At 42.0% G+C, this 13,848-nt stretch overlaps 1 protein-coding gene across 12 annotated transcripts in view; it reads left to right on the top strand.

The window, feature by feature from the left end:
• Positions 1–13,848, top strand: part of ESR2 (estrogen receptor 2) — a 111,907-nt gene that overhangs the window by 43,719 nt on the left and 54,340 nt on the right. For 10 of the 12 annotated variants that reach the window (NR_073496.2, NM_001291712.2, XM_047431076.1 and 7 more), the window contains one exon: positions 11,820–12,271. Coding sequence is in view for 10 of the 12 variants with exons in the window: in NM_001291712.2 (NP_001278641.1) it covers positions 11,910–12,271 (362 nt within the window). In the remaining 2 variants the exon portion in view is untranslated. Of the gene's footprint in view, positions 1–484; positions 863–11,819; positions 12,272–13,848 lie in introns of those variants that run through there. The other 2 variants (NM_001040275.1, NM_001437.3) reach the window with 2 other exon arrangements.

Raw genomic sequence — 13,848 nt, 5'->3', positions numbered from 1 at the left:
CGCGAAAGGCCTTCCCAGTGACCTCTTGAGAGCTGAGAACCCACTCCCTCCACCTCTAGTCCACGGCTTTGCCACTCCAGGGCCCGAGGTTACGTTTGCTGCTGGGGATTTGACAAACCCAAAGCCTCTCTGGTTTCACCACTGGCTCCTTAGAATCAGACATCTGTTCTGAATGACACTTATGTGAGTCAGGGGCTGAGGACGTGATCCTCGAAGTGTGGTCCCCAGACTGGCTGTATCAGTGTCGGCATCCCCCAGGACCTGGTTGGAAATGCATATTCTCAGGCCCTACTCCAGACCTCTTAAATCTGAGACTGGGGCTGCGGGGAGCGCCATCTGTGCGCCACTATCCTTGTGGGTGGACCAGGAGTCGGTTCGAGGGTGCTCCCACTTAGAGGTCACGCGCGGCGTCGGGCGTTCCTGAGACCGTCGGGCTCCCTGGCTCGGTCACGTGGGCTCAGGCACTACTCCCCTCTACCCTCCTCTCGGTCTTTAAAAGGAAGAAGGGGCTTATCGTTAAGTCGCTTGTGATCTTTTCAGTTTCTCCAGCTGCTGGCTTTTTGGACACCCACTCCCCCGCCAGGAGGCAGTTGCAAGCGCGGAGGCTGCGAGAAATAACTGCCTCTTGAAACTTGCAGGGCGAAGAGCAGGCGGCGAGCGCTGGGCCGGGGAGGGACCACCCGAGCTGCGACGGGCTCTGGGGCTGCGGGGCAGGGCTGGCGCCCGGAGCCTGAGCTGCAGGAGGTGCGCTCGCTTTCCTCAACAGGTGGCGGCGGGGCGCGCGCCGGGAGACCCCCCCTAATGCGGGAAAAGCACGTGTCCGCATTTTAGAGAAGGCAAGGCCGGTGTGTTTATCTGCAAGGTAAGCGCCCCTTCGCTCGAGGTGTGGTTTAATTGTCTCATTTTGTTTGAAATCCTGCGGTGAGAAACCAGTCGTGTTGAGAACAATAAAAGACCAAAAAACGATCACCAAAACCAACTGTCCTGAAAGCTACTGGAAAGTTGGAAAATGCATGCTTTGATTAAATGTCTTCATTCAAGACACTGGCAAGTTAACTTATTTAGTTTGTGCCGTGAGCTCTGGGTTGATTGTGCTAATATGAATAACTGAAAAACATTTTATTTCCCTATGGTTTTCCTCGATGGACTTCCCCACTATGGGTGAAATGACAATGGAGTTGAATACACTTTCTGATTGAACTTTGAGGGCCTGGGAAGATGTACACGTCTCAGGCAAGATGATAGGGGTTTTAAAATGTATTAATTGGCATTCCTTAGCCATGTCAGCAAGCTGCGTTCCTCCTTTCCTGGGCAGACCAAGCTAAGCTCTAACTGGTCTCCTTTATTTGCTGAAGAGGAGTCCAACAACTGCCCTCTAACACCCTGCGTGTTATTCTTATTGGAAGGACAATATTAAGTCAAGTGAATGTCATTTTTGTGAAAAAACTTTGAGTGGACTTCTATTTAGGAAGATAAGGTTGATTTAATTTTACTCGCTGTTTAAAAAGCAGGATTGTGTTTTGGTGTGGTAGGCAACATTTTGGAGGACAGACTTTGCCTTATTTTGTTATATTTCTAGTATTTACATGGGCATTCCATTAGAAAGTTTTACTTTTGCTCTAAGTTTCGTAACTCGGTGTCTAGTGAGGGGAAACATGTTTGTAATTTAAAAAGTGAACATGTGAAAGGAAAGGCTTTTCTGAGAGTGTTGTAAAACAAATGTAACGTGACTATGAAAAGAACATGATTAACATCTTTGACTCCTATTTTTTCTGAAGAAAATGTATTTTGATATGAGTTCTAGAAGAAGGAAACTATAAGGATCTGTTCATCAACAGGCATTAGAGTATACACCGTAGGATTGCATTTTACGTTCAAGCATTTTTTTAGATGAATTTCTGAAACATTCTTATTTTAAAAGCCATCAGATGCTTGTTAACACTTAAGTCTTGCTCAAGACATAGAAGTTTCTGAAATCAATTAACATGTTTAGGACACATTTCGTAGTGTTCTGAGGGATGTGAATAAATCTAATCACAGTTTACATTTCTTAATGTATTTATAATTCAGAAAAGGTAGAATTTAGTAGTAAATTCAACTCATAACCATATAATTAACATTTAATAGATATTGATATGTTCACTTTTAAGAATAAGAAGGAAATTTTCTATAAGTGTATGTTGAACACATAATAATTCAAAATTCATGTGATAATTTTAGGTGATGCTTTGAGTCGTTTTATAGAATATAAATATGGATAAAATATAAAATACTGAAGGCTGAACTCAAAGTGTTTAATGATAAGTTTTTGATAATACATCTAGAAACCTTGAGAATTGTATGCTTGAACGTTAGATTTCATAATTCAGTGTCTAGCACATTGTTTTATATGCAATAGCACTTTAAAAAAATTAGGCTACAGCAGTATAATTTACATACAGTAAAATTTAGCCTCTGTAAATGTACCTCTATGAATTCTGACAGATGCACAGTCATGTAACCAGCACCGCACACATGACACAGAACAGTTCCATTACCCCAAAAGTCCCCTTTGTACCTCTACCTACCCCACTGCCCCTGAAAATCACTGATCAAAACTACATAATGATTATGTGGTTTTGCTCTTTAGTACGTTTTTACTTAGACATATTTTCCTTTACTTCTTTTGAAAGAAAAACCTGTTTTTCCCTTTTTATAGGATGAGTCAGTTTGTGCTATTTTTAATTCTAGTACCTTGGGATAAATCAAGGCAAAGACAATGCTATTTGCAAATGGGAAACTTGAGACTTGGACTAAGTGTTAAATTCATATAGGGCTAATAGATTTAGTTCTTAGCAGATTTAGATTCTATTGTGGTTTAAGCCTTTGGTTATGGCATATATCATTAGTTATCCTGAATTGAAATACAAGGCCATTAAAAGTTATTTATATCATATTAATAGAATGCATCATTCTTTTATAATCTTTGAATTTTAAAACTTCTTTATTAAAAAAAAAACTACTTTTCATTATACCTGAGATTAAGAAAGCTACCTGAAATTGCATATTATCAAATAGTGAGAAGCAAAACAGGGATTGAAAATGACAAATTGAAGACATTTAAAATGCAGAGTGATTACAATTGCTGAAGGTAAAATATTTATCTTCATAGGGGCTTAGGTCTGTGTCCAACTTATTTGTAGATGTCAGGATTTTTAAATTTCTGTGCTCATGTCTTGAAGTCTAGATTTTCCTGCAGGGTGGAGATGTATAACCTTTTGTAAACTAATATTTTTCACTGTTTAACACAGTATTCAATTCAGTATACAGTTAGGAGCCTGTTATTGGTAGGTACTGCTAACATATATATATATAAAATTGATGTCTTTTTCCTTTTTCCTTTGTTCTATGAAAAACAGCCTGTATTTTAAATATGTAACTTACCTTGCATACCCAGTTACAGTGGTAGTAACTAGGATATGCAGAGTGGCAAGTTTATGAGGAGCTAGCAAACTGGATAGTTGGCCTTCCTAGCTGGAATTATGACAGGTCTTGAAAATGAAGGGCTTTTAGTGGAGAATCTTTGTGTGGGTGTACTTGAGAGAGGGCAGGAGAGTTAGGGTGACCTAGAAAGATAGATTGCTGGACTTGTATATGTTTCCTCAAAGCCAGACTGCAGCATTTTGTTAGTAAATTGTTGTGTGTTCTACTGTCAAACCCAGGCCTGGAAGGGGAGTTGAGTGCATTCAGCCTAACTTCTGGATTGGCTGTGTCATCTTGAATCCCTTCACTCGGAATTCTCTCTGACCCTGTCCCAAATGAATATTTGAATTTGGTCCAGTTCCTACAGAGCATGGTCTGTGGCTGTTGTTGGTGTTAGGGAAGAGCAGAAACTTGCTGTTGAGAGAGAAGACACTTGAGAAGACTGATGAACTCTCTCCCACCCCTGCCTTCGAGGCTTGGTCCTCCTACCCTATTCAAACCCTTGAAACTCTTTCCTATCCAACTAAATAAGCGCCAATTGGTTACTAGGAGAATTAGCTTTTCCTCATTTTAGAAGGAAACAGGGTTTCCTTATGTACATGTTCTTAAGAATTACATGCAAATCAGTTATTAATGATGAGTTCTCTGGTGATTTTGGAGTGTTTTATCTTCCTAATATTAAATTAATTGAGGGCCTTAATATTTTGTTTTGAAAGAATATATTTAAAAAGGCTGGGTGTGGTGGCTCACGCCTGTAATCTCAGCACTTTGGGAGGCCTAGGTGGCTGGATCACTTGAGGGCAGGAGTTCAAGACCAGCCTGGCCAAATAATGAAACCTTGTCTCTGTTAAGAATACAAAAAATTAGCTGGCCATGGTGGCTCAAGCCTGTAGTCCCAGCTACTCAGGAGGCTGAGGCATGAGAATTGCTTGAACCTGGGAGGCCGAGTTTACAGTGAGCCGCGATCATGCCACTGCATTCCAGCCTGGGCAACAAAGCAAAACTCTATCTCTAAATAAATAAATAAATAAATAAATAAGAATACATTTAAAGATAATAATTGGCCAGGTGTGGTGGTTCATGCCTGTGATCACAGCACTTTGGGAGGCCGAGGTGGGAGGATTGCTTGAGGCAAGGAGTTCAAGATCAATCTGGGCAACACAGTGAGACCCTATCTCTACAAAAATTTAAAAATCAGCTGGGCATGATGGTGCATGCCTTTAGTCCCAGCTACTTGGGGGGCTGAGTTTGGAGGATCCCTTGAGCCCAGGAGATCAAGGCTGCAGTAGGCCATGATCTTGCCACTACACTCTAGCCTGAGTTACAGAGCTAGAGTATAACCCCCACCCCCCAAAAAAGCTAATAATTGTCAAACAGCTACTTATGCACATCAAGGATGCTTGTTGCTTAAGAAATCTTTTTAAATCTTTTCCATGAAATTCCTTCTAGTTGCTGCTTTGTGAGCGTGAATTTTTTACTTCTGCAGGACACACAAATGTGGAGCATTTGAACTGAATGCTTGGGAAAGTGTGATGGGCAGGTGGAAGAAGAATAGGGATGAGGACTTATCCTCTATTCTTATCCTCCTAGACTTATCCTCCTAGTCTGCAAGCTTGAGAATATGGCATCAGGAATATGTGGCATTTTGTCCACACACACAGTGTTGGCAGGCTACCAGCAGCCCAGCTATCTGGACTAGGGGTGATGGATTTCTGTGGACAGAAGTCAAAAAGTAAAATTAGGAGGCAAAAATCTTCAGGGTGGCCATAAAGACATTGTAACTTGTCTGGAAATTCCAACCAACACTAAATGTGTATCCAGTGATATACCAATAGACTGGCTTCATCTTCTTGGATGTGTAATAATACCTTACAGAATGCTTTCTTTTTTTTTTTCTTTTTCTTTTTCTTTATTTTTTTTGAAATGAAGTTTTGCTCTTGTTGCCCAGGCTGGAGTGTAATGGCACAATCTCAGCTCACTGCAACCTCCACCTCCCAGGTTCAAGCGATTGTCCTGCCTCATCCTCCCGAGTAGCTGGGATTACAGGCATGTGCCACCATGCCCGGCTAATTTTGTATTTTTAGTAGAGACGGGGTTTCTCCATGTTGGTTAGGCTGGTCTCAAACTCCCGACCTCAGGTGATCTGCCCACCTTGGCCTCCCAAAGTGCTGGGGTTACAGGCGTGAGCCACTGCGCCCGGCCTCAGAATCCTTTCACAGACATCATCTCATTTCACCCTCAGAGCACCGTGAAAAGGTACAGCACCAAATAGGTACCTGATTCTACTGAAGAAGATGTGGCAGCTCAGGGAGTTTGTGGATTTGTCTAAGATTGCCTGGCTTTCAGGCAGAGCTGGGGCTAGAATGAATGTTCTGCTCTATCCATTGATAGAATATACATAAGAACAGGCTTGATGGTGGCTGACCTTTTTTTTTTTTTTTTTTTTGAGACAGAGTTTTGCTCTTGTCACCTAGGTTGGAGTGCAGTGGCGTGATCTCGGCTCACCGCAACCTCCACCTCCTGGGTTCAAGCGATTCTCCTGCCTCAGCCTTCTGAGTAGCTGGGTTTACAGGCAAGCGCTGCCACACCCGGCTAATTTTGTATTTTTAGTAGAGACTGGGTTTCTCCATGTTGGCCAGGCTGGTCCCGAACTCCTGATTTCAGGTGATCTGCCCACCTTGGCCTCTCAAAGTGCTGGGATTACAGGCATGAGCCACCCGCGCCCGGGTGACTGATTTCTTATTAACTAGATTTACAGGTGCTTTGATAAAAACCAGTCTAGTCTTGGCTGGCACGGTGGCTCATGCCTGTAATCCCAGCACTTTGGGAGCCCAAGGCGGGCGGGTCACGAGGTCAAGAGATCAAGACCATCCTGGCTAACATGGTGAAACCCCGTCTCTACTAAAAAATAGAAAAAATTAGCTGGGCATGGTGGCGGGCACCTGTAGTCCCAGCTACTTGAGAGGCTGAGGCAGGAGAATGGCTGAACCCGGGAGGTGGAGCTTGCAGTGAGCCAAGATTGCACCACTGCACTCCAGCCTGGGCAACAGAGCAAGACTCCATCTCAAAAAAAAAAAAAAAAAAGTGTAGTCTTTTTGGAGTGTTTTTCTGCCATTTCTAGGGCCAAACTTTTTCTTGTCCATGAATCATTGTCAAAATTGGGAATTTTAAATACTACTTTTTTCTTTTAATTCAAAAGCCATAGTATGTTTCCCAGCCAGTACATTAGAACACCATGCACGATCCCATGTGTACAAAAAGCTTTCTGGCTGAATTCAGATGTGACCTGAGAGGGCCAAATACAGGGGTGTGTGCTGGGAGAGAGAGAGAGGTCTCTGGACAGAAAACAAAGCCTGTTCACCACCCAGGATATGGACCAACTATTTTAGGTTATGGTGACTAAAGAAAATTGACATGCAAATAAATGAATAATTCTTAGAATCAGGATGTCTGGGTACTGGTTCTTTGGTTGGCCAGGTGAAATTCCATGCCAGGCCCAACAATTAAACTCTTTAGAGACAATTTTTTCCTGTTGTACCAGAACATTGTACTGAGGCCATGTTTGAACATTCAATCGATGTGTTGGGAAAACTCTGCCCTACAATGTTAAAGAAATTAAATCTTTTGGGGAGTCTTTCCTTTGACCAGTTTATATCTCTGTTTTAGAGGAGGGCTTCTCAACCAGAATGGGTTTGTTGACTTATTTTTACAGACCTCTGGTAGAAAGGAGGTCTTTTTTTGCTACCTGTTCTCCTGTCTCAGAGAACTATTACAATGGTGTAAGTTCATCATTTCTTCCCCTTATTATGGCTCTGCTTAGGAAGAAAAACTCTTTGCATTGGCTACCAAGTACCTAACTATTCAAGATGCCACTGACAAAGAGTTAATCTGTGAATCATGTGAATCTGATATATCTGAAATATATCCAAACAAAAAGCACCTAGCCTTTTAATGACTCTCCAGAAGTCAGTTCTCTAACTTTAATTATCATCCTTCTGGGGATATGTGGAAATTCTACAGAAGTTGATTGGTGATATGTTGAGATGTGAGATCTGTATTTTCTAAGCAAAGTTGCCATGCACCTGATTGATTGGCTAGGTGTATCCTGGCATTTGTCATTTGTTGGTGGGGTCTGATAGTTGGTTTCACCACTGCTGGGTACCCAGAGTCATCACATCCATAGAGACAGAATGTAGGCTGGTGGTTGCCAGGGGCTGGGGGAAGGGAGGAGTGGGGAATTTGTTTAACAGAGAGTTTTAGTTTTGCAAGATGAAATGAGTTCTAGAGATTGGTTGCACAATAATGTGAATATCCTTAACACTACTGAACTTTATACTTAGAAATGGCTAAGATGGTAAGTTTTATGTTACATGTATTTTAACACAATTAAAAAAGAAAAAAAAAAAAACAACTTCAGGCCAGGCACGGTGACTCACACCTGTAATCCCAGCACTTTGGGAGGCTAAGGCGGGCAGATCACTTGAGGTCAGGAGTTCAAGACCAGCCTGGCCAACATGGTGAAACCCCATCTCTACTAAAAATACAAAAATTAGCCTGGCCTAATTGTGCATGCTTATAATCCCAGCTAATTGTGAGGCTGAGGCAGGGGAATCGCCTCAAACCCTGGAGGTGGAGGTTGCAATGAGCCGAGATCACACCACTGCACTCTCCAGCCTGGGTGACAGAGTGAGATTTCATTTCAAAACAAAAAACCACTTTAGAAACTGCTAGTTTTGGCAATAGTTATCACTATATGTTTTATCCTGCATATTTTCTGTTAAGAATAAGGAATTGTTTATGTTGATCAGGAATCTAAGTAATTAAAATACAAAATTCTGGCTGGTGGCTCTCGCTTGTAATCCCAGCACTTTGGGAGGCCAAGGCGGGTGGATCATTTGAGGTCGGAAGTTCAAGACCAGGCTGGTCAACATGGTGAAACCCCATCTCTACTAAAAGTACAAAAAATTAGCTGGGCATGGTGGTAGGCACCTGTAATCCCAGCTACTAGGGAGGCTGAGGCAGGAGAAGCACTTGAAGTCAAGAGGCGGAGGTTGCAGTGAGCCAAGATTGTACCACTGCACTCCAGCCTGGGTGACACAGCGAAACTCCATGTAAAAAAAAAATGAAATATAAAATTCCATACTCATTATTAATTACATATAGTATTAAAATAAAACCCAAACACCAAACCTTCCTTGATCCTATATCCTTCTCCAGCTACCATTCTCTCTCCTCTCCTTGGTCCAAATTTTTGATTTACAATGTTGGTTGGAAGTGGTACCACTTTGGTGTTAGTTCCTTATCATTTTACCTGGTCTGTCCTGCCTCTTCCTGGTACATTAGCTCCCTGAAGGCAGGGTGTATGTCCCAGAACTCCTTGAAGTCCCTTTTCTCAGCATACTACCATGCCTACTGCAGCACCCCCCATCTTTAATGTCCTTGACTTGGTGAAATATTACATTTTGAACACATTTCCTCACTTCCTTATGACAAATATTGATTGAGTTTCAGTGCAAGGTGAGTAAGAAATGGTACTTGCTTTCAAGGAGCTAAAAATCTGAATTTCCTTTTTTTTTTCTTTTTCTTTTTCTTTTTTTTTTTTTTTTGAGACAGAGTCTCACTCTGTCACCTGGGCTGGAGTGCAGTGGCACGATCTCAGCTTAATGCAGCCTCCGCCTCCCAGATTCAGTGATTCTCATGTCTTAGCCTCTCGAGTAGCTGGGACTACAGGCATGCACCACCACGCCTGGCTAACTTTTGTATTTTTAGTGAAGATGGTGTTTCACCATCTTGGCCAGGCTGGCCTCAAACTCTTGACCTCATGTGATCCACCCACCTCGGCCTCCCAAAGTGCTGAGATTACAGGCATTGACTTTACTTCTTACTCTCCTATGCACCTCTATCATTTTGAAGAAGGGTTCAAGGTAGTTCTGATAAGCAGGATTAGGTTTGTATGTAAGTGATTAAAGGGGTGCTATGAGCAAAAAAAGTGTGAAGGTATAACAAGCCAACCACCTCACAATGCAGTTTGCATGTTTCTTAATGGACATAGCAGGTTTTCTGTAAGAAAACAGCAGGAGATTCGTGTGGAATGATGGGTTGAGGCAACATAGTGGCATCCCTTGAATGCTCGAAGAATGTGACTTAGAGTTTGGTGGGAAGCAGAGAGCTGGGTTTTAAGAACATGAATCTGACAACTCTATGGATCTGGAGGAGAAGCTAACTGGGGACGAGGAGCAGTAAGAAGCCTGTTACAGATGCACTGATAAGAAGTAATGAGAGCTGGCCGGGCACAGTGGCTCACGCCTGTAATCCCAGCACTTTGGGAGGCCGAGGCGGGCAAATCACAAGGTCAGGATTTCAAGACGAGCCTGGCCAACATGGTGAAACGCCGTCTCTACTAAAAATACAAAAAGTTAGCTGGGCGTGGTGGCGGGCGCCTATAATCCCAGCTACTCGGGATGCTGAGGCAGAAGAATCGCTTGAACCTGGAAGGTGGAGGTTGCAGTGAGCCGAGATTGCGCCACTGCACTCCAGCCTGGGTGACAGTGCGAGACTCCGTCTCAAAAAAAAAAAAAAAAAGTAATGCGATAATGAGAGCTTACTTCAAGATGGCAGCAAAAGACAGTGGAAAAAAGGCATTGGGAAAAAAAGCCAATGTGCCTTGATGAGTAAAGTTAACTGAGTCAAGGGGAGAAGTCAAAGGTAACTATGATGGGCTTTTTCTATTAACACAAATAGGAAATGAGTGGTTTTGGGAAAGAAAGTGATGAATTACCCCTCAGATATTGTATTAATTGTCTATTACTGTGGCCGGGCATGGTAGCTCATGCCTGTAATCCCAGCACTTTGGGAGGCCGAAACAGGCAGATCACTTGAGGTCAGGAGTTCGAGACCAGCCTGGCCAACACGGTGAAACCCTGTCTCTACTAAAAATACAAAAATTAGTGTGGTGGTGTATGCCTGTAATCCCAGCTACTCAGGAGGCTGAGACATGATAATTGCTTGAACCTGGGAGGCAGAGATTGCAGTGAGCTGATATGGCGCCATTGCACTCCAGCCTAGGCAACAAGAGTGAAACTCCATCTCAAAAAAAAAGATTTGCCTGTAATCAGCCAGCACCCCCAGCCTTGTGCTCACTTTACATACAAAAATTCTGTTTTTTAGAGCATAAATTGAAGGGCACATTCAAAACTGATACGTAGGCCAGGCATGGTGACTTATGCCTGTAATCCCAGCACTTTGGGAGACCGAGGCAGGTGGATCACTCGAGATCAGGAGTTTGAGACCAGCCTGGCCAACGTGGTGAAACCCCATCCCTACTAAAAAATACAACAAATTAGCCAGTCACAGTGGTGCGCACCCATAGTCTCAGCTACTCGTGAGGCTGAGGCAGGAGAATCACTAGAACCTGGGAGGCAGGAGGTTGCAGTGAGCCGAGATCATGCCACTGCACTCCAGCCTGGGTGACAGAGTGAGACCTTGTCTCAAAAACAAAGACAAAACCAAAACAAAACAAAACTGAGAAGCAACAGATTGATAAGTGACACAGTTACACTGGTCAGTCTCTTCAGCTAATACCCATTGTTTTTTATTATTGGAGATTCATAATGTGTTTTCTTTCTTTTAAAAACTTTTTTCGGAAATGGTAATTTCTCTCTTTTTTTTTTTTTTTTTTTTTTTTTGAGACAGGGTCTCACTCTATCACCCAGGCTGGAGCGCGGTGGCACAATCTCTGCTCACTACAACCTCTGCCTCCTGGGCTTGAGCAATCACACCTCAGCCTCTTGAGTAGCTGGGACAACAGGCACATGCCACCATTCCTGGCTAATTTTTAGTAGAGACGGGGTTTCACCATGTTGCCCAGGCTGGTCTCGAACTCCTGACCTCAAGTAATCTGCCCACCTCAGCCTCCCAAAGTATTGGGATTACAGGCGTGAGCCACTACGCTTGGCCTCATAGCGTATTTTAATATTGGTTGAGACTAGCCTTGCTCATTGATCTTCTCTTAGCGTTTACTTGGTTATTCTTGCTTATTTTTCCATAAGAACTTTCATTTTTATTTAATCCTGTGTTTTTTGGTTTTAAAGACTATTTTATAATAAATTTTCGTGATTAAACTCTTGTGCTTAAACTCTTGATTAAACAAACAAGCAATGAAGAGATGAATGAAGCAGAAAATGTGAGTTTCATGCCTCACATTCCCACTCCTCTGAGGTTAATATTTTCATGTATATTTTTCAGGATGTATTTGTAATCTCATACAAACGTATGTATTTTTTTAATGAAAATATTTAAATTTTCATAGTTAACAGCTGTAGCTCTAACTTGGCAATATCTTCTGTGTTTCTTTACAGCCATTATACTTGCCCACGAATCTTTGAGAACATTATAATGACCTTTGTGCCTCTTCTTGCAAGGTGTTTTCTCAGCTGTTATCTCAAGACATGGATATAAAAAACTCACCATCTAGCCTTAATTCTCCTTCCTCCTACAACTGCAGTCAATCCATCTTACCCCTGGAGCACGGCTCCATATACATACCTTCCTCCTATGTAGACAGCCACCATGAATATCCAGCCATGACATTCTATAGCCCTGCTGTGATGAATTACAGCATTCCCAGCAATGTCACTAACTTGGAAGGTGGGCCTGGTCGGCAGACCACAAGCCCAAATGTGTTGTGGCCAACACCTGGGCACCTTTCTCCTTTAGTGGTCCATCGCCAGTTATCACATCTGTATGCGGAACCTCAAAAGAGTCCCTGGTGTGAAGCAAGATCGCTAGAACACACCTTACCTGTAAACAGGTAAGTCCAGTCTTCATTCTGAATTATAGTTGCTAGCCATTTCTCAAATCACTTTATGGTTGAGTGAGAAGGAAATAATATGTTAGACAAGGTCTTTATTGTATTAATTACATAGTTTACTTACAGCACCCAAAACACAGGATGCCCTGTTCTATTCTGATATTTTAGTTCTCATTAAAAACTGGTATGTGTACATCAGTGTTGTGGGGAGAATTTGCTATCATGACTATTGTCTTTATACAGTAAATACTGAACTTAAGTCACTCCTTTTCTTTTTTTGAGACAGGGTCTCGCTCTGTCACTCAGACTGGAGTATAATGGCACGATTGCGGCTCACTGCAACCTTCACCTCCTGGGTTCAAGCAATTCTCGTGCCTTAGTCTCCCGAGTAGCTGGGATTACAGGCGCGTGCCACCACGCCCAGCTCATTTTTTAAATTTTTAGTAGAGACAGGGTTTCACCATGTTGGCTAGGCTGGTCTTGAACTCCTGACCTCAAATGATCCACCTGCCTTGGCCTCCCAAAGTGCTGGGATTACAGACGTGATGAACACTGTGCCTGGTCTGAACTTAAGTCACTCTTAATGGAGTTATTTGGATTTGAAAAATGAATTTTTACTTTACTTTCAGTTTCAAAGTCTTCTTATAGTGAAACCACAATTTAATGTTCATGACAAATTGTTTCCAGGATAAAAGTAACTGTGATAGTATTACAACTTAAATGAAATTCTAGACATGCGAAGCATGAAAAGATAGATGATTGGTATAAGCTTTTTAACCATGAACTAAAATAATAACATTATATAAAGATTGGTGGAAACTATTGAAGTTTAGGCTTCAGTTGACATTCCCTGAAGTTAAAAAGGATATGTGTACTCTTTAAATGCAAGGTAACATAATGGATTATTTCCATCTAATTATTAATATTTCTAATGATAATCATAGGTATGAAGGGAATGGATAGTATAATGAGAAAGGAGAGGGGGAGATAAAAATCTAAAAGTACTAAGGGCATGTTGGATATTGAAATTCACTACTTTCAAATATTATCATAAAACTTTGAGACAGTAACATTGCACCATTATTTTTCTTCTTTTAAAAACATTTTACTCATTGGTAAAGAGAATATAAACATTGTGGATAACTTTTTTAAAGTAATGGTTTGTTTTTTTTTTCTCCTTCCTCCTTTAAAGGAAGACATATTTTGTTTCTGAGCATGAATTATAATCAAAGTTCTGCTAATTTTTGGGCAAATTAATCCATTATATAATTACCTTCATTTATAAATCAATAATACCTTTACCATTCCCTTTCCAAAAGAACCATGCCTGGCAACATCAGGAACTAGCCAGATGTGTTTTGGAGGCTGCCTGGGGATCCCTTGTTAGACTTTTCGTTCCTTTATGAACCTCTTGCCTGTGGTCCAGCATTGAGCCTCTGCTTCCTTCCAAGCCTTTCCAGGCCAGGCACTTGCTTGTTCTCTCTCTTCTCTTCTCTCTTCTTTTTTCTCTCTCCCTTTCTCTTCTCTTCCCCCTTTTTCTTGTCTCACATTCATCTCAAGGTAACTTAAAGTCCATT

This window comes from Homo sapiens, chromosome 14, assembly GCF_000001405.40.
Source record: "Homo sapiens chromosome 14, GRCh38.p14 Primary Assembly".
NCBI lineage: Eukaryota > Metazoa > Chordata > Mammalia > Primates > Hominidae > Homo > Homo sapiens.
The sequence above is the reverse complement of the archived record's forward strand: the minus strand, read 5'-3'. Positions and strand labels throughout refer to the sequence as shown.